Below are 3080 nucleotides of genomic sequence, written 5' to 3'. Positions count from 1 at the left end.
ACACTGTGGAGAGAGACTTTGATTATATAAAATTTTCAAAAAGCTGAATATGAGACTTATTTCCTATATGTACAACGTTGATGGGCTTCATGATGTCAGAAAATTCTGATTAGGCTCTCCTATCTGAACAGTCCTCTAACTGTCCCTTTATCCCAGCTTCAGAAAGAGTACAGTAGCTGAGGGGACCCTGCATCAGGATCATCTATGGGTTCACAGTTCACTTCGTGGGCTAAAGGTTCTGGGGCAGGAGTATGTAAGAGGAACTTTTTCCACTGGATTTCCTAACCCTTCTAATGGAGACGATGCTACAAGAAACTCACGCTACAATGCCCATCTGATATTTAAGACTTCTGAGAATTTAGCTTCTTCACCTACCTCGTATGCACATTAGTCCAGCCCCATGTGCACTGAGTAGGCTAATTGCATTAAAGACTTCTGACAACCAGGGTCCAACAAAGCAAACACAATGATTTTCCAATACAGATGCAGTAATTGTGCCTTAGGGGAAATGGCAGATTAGAAGATCAAGTGATCACACTCTCCATTTCCTAGTTTTGTCCAGCTCCAGAGTCCACAGCTCTGAAATAGAAGTGTCTGGAATGAAGGCTTCCTGATGCAGGTCCCTCACTGGAGCTTTAAAACTGTGTGGGCTTTTTTTTTTTTCCAGGAAATGAAAATTGCACTTTAATTTTCCCTCACTATAATACACTGGCATATTTTTATCCTACAGCTTATCAGAGGAGACCAACCCATTGATCACAAAAAAGGATAGTACAGAGGTATAAAACTCAATAAGATTTTGAAAAGGAGTTATCTGGTGAATGCAGAAAGTTTCCAAAGTTTTGAGTTGCTTTTTCATGGCAAAGTAAAATAAAGAATGCTCATCTTTCCAAGTATGTATCCGTATCATAGGATTATGAACCTGACTTTCTGTTTTAGAGGGATTTCCTATAGAGAAACTCATAATGCAATTTAAATCCCACTCTTCCATTTGCACCCTAGGAAGATATTTTTCTGTATAGTCATTCAATTCTCATGAAAAATGTATAACTCACTGTTGCAATGCATGAAGGAAAATGAAGATAGACATTTCCATTTTGTAAGAGGGCTCCATGATAAGAAAGTGCCCAATTATTTCATGTCTCAATCTGGTTTTCCCACCTCCTGCAATACCAATATGCTTATTACCAACACATCCTCTACCTGGCAATGCCTCTGACTTGGATGTCATGAAATGCAAGCCCTGCCTGAGAGTTGTTGCAGCATTTACAGTTAGGACTCATTTTATTTGGTTTTACCAGGTTTTTGAGGAATGGCCTCCTCCTTTTCCAGGATCCAGTTCCGGACACCACATTTCATCCAGTCATCATGTCTCCTTAGTCTCCTCTGGTCTGTGACAGATTTTCTATCTTGTCTTTCCTGACCTTAACAGTGTTAAGGCATACTGACTAGGAATCCAGAAAATCTGGGTTTGTCTGATGTTTTCCTCAAGATTAGACTGGGGTTGGGAATTTTTGGAAAGAGTACTACAGAGGTGAAGACTCTTCTCATTACATAGTATCAGGGGGTACATGAGACCCATGCAACATCCTTGGTGACGCTGACCTCCATCTCTTGGTTAAGGTGATGTCTGCCACATCTCTCCACTGCAAAGTTACCATTTTGCTCTTCCCTACTCTATTATTTGGACAATCTCTAGGTCTAGCCCATCCCCAAAGGGGTAAGGGTGGAACAAATTAAACTCTGTCTCCTGAAGAAGGAAGTATTAGGAATTTTTCTATAAGGAAGGGTTGTCTCTTCTCCCCCACTCATTTGTTTATTCAATCTTTATTTATATCAGTGTGGATTCATGTATATTTATTTCATACTTTGAGTTTTAAGCAAACTAAGTTTAAATGTCCCAAAACACAACCCCCATCCCCTAGGATTGGAGCAATCAGAGTCCTGGGGCAGAGCTTTCACGTGGGACCGGGAACAGGAGCGTGACCATGGAAGGCCCCTCACCGATACAGTTCCCGCCCCAGCTCCACTGATGATACACTGATTAGGGGAGACTTAGTCACAGCCTTTCCCGCAGACACGTTTTACTGCCTGCCCGCCCACACAGCAATTTCCTTCATTACCCAGTGCTGAGTGTTGGCTGGCGAGCCACAGCTCAGCCCAGTAATGAACAGGCTTCTGTTACTCACAGAGCCATGCTCGCCTCATGTCTCTGTTCATAGGGATCCTGGGCATCATCAAAAAACCAAGCCACTTGCTTTTCTTCTTCTTTTTATTAGAAAACAAAGTACTGCATCCTTGGCTTTTATTGTACAGATAGCCCAAGTCCAGAAATACGTCTCTTCTCCAAAAAAACACTCGAGTCAAATAATGACTGAAGTATTTAACTGCACATAGAGCAATTTCAAATGAGTTTCATTTTTTAAATAATGAAAGGACATAGGTTTGTTAGTATTTCACATTTTCCTTTTTTTCCATCTAAACTCTTTTTATTTTATAACTTTAACTTTAGAACTTTAGAATGTTGCCAATTACTAAAATGTGATATTTAGTGCTGACAGTAAGAGGCGTTTATTAAGTGCTCGATGCTTGCTACGTAGAGGTCTATTCTGTGAGTCAGAATGTACTGATTTACTGGTAGAGAACCTGAGACTAAGAAGAGAATGATTGTGTTTAAGTAATAGAATGAGGCTGCACAAAAAACTTTTTTTTCTTATGGAAATTTACCCTAAGAATTTCCAAGGACCCAATAAATAAGGAAATGGATTAAAATACAGGACAAATTGTGCTTTCCCTCTGGGGAAGAGAGAACACGCAGTAGAGAATCCCATTCCCCACCCACTTCCCTCATCCACTACCCCATCTCCAGGCCCATGGCCTTCCTGCAGATCGACCTTGGGAATGTGGGAGTCAGGCAGACCTGGAATGAATCCTGCCTGTCTCTTATCACAGGAGAGCTGGGGCAAGTTACTTAAAAACGTGGAAGCCTCAGCTGCTCCATCTATGTAATGGGGGTCATGGTATCCCTGTAAGAGAAGCTTGTGTGGAAATTAAGTGAGCTGATATACAGTGCTTTGCAG

The 3080-nt window shown here is 41.2% G+C and overlaps 1 annotated feature.

Annotated features, from left to right (window-relative positions):
* Positions 1981–2275: an enhancer, noted in NCBI's record as "tiled region #15011; K562 Activating non-DNase unmatched - State 10:DNaseD". NCBI's record gives its function as "activates a minimal TATA promoter and a strong SV40 promoter by Sharpr-MPRA in K562 cells {active_cell/tissue: K562}" and the evidence as "EXISTENCE:reporter gene assay evidence [ECO:0000049][PMID:27701403]".

This window comes from Homo sapiens, chromosome 8, assembly GCF_000001405.40.
Source record: "Homo sapiens chromosome 8, GRCh38.p14 Primary Assembly".
In the NCBI taxonomy this organism is placed as follows: Eukaryota; Metazoa; Chordata; class Mammalia; order Primates; family Hominidae; genus Homo; species Homo sapiens.
Note: the sequence above shows the minus strand (reverse complement) of the source record. Positions and strands in the feature narration are given on the sequence as shown.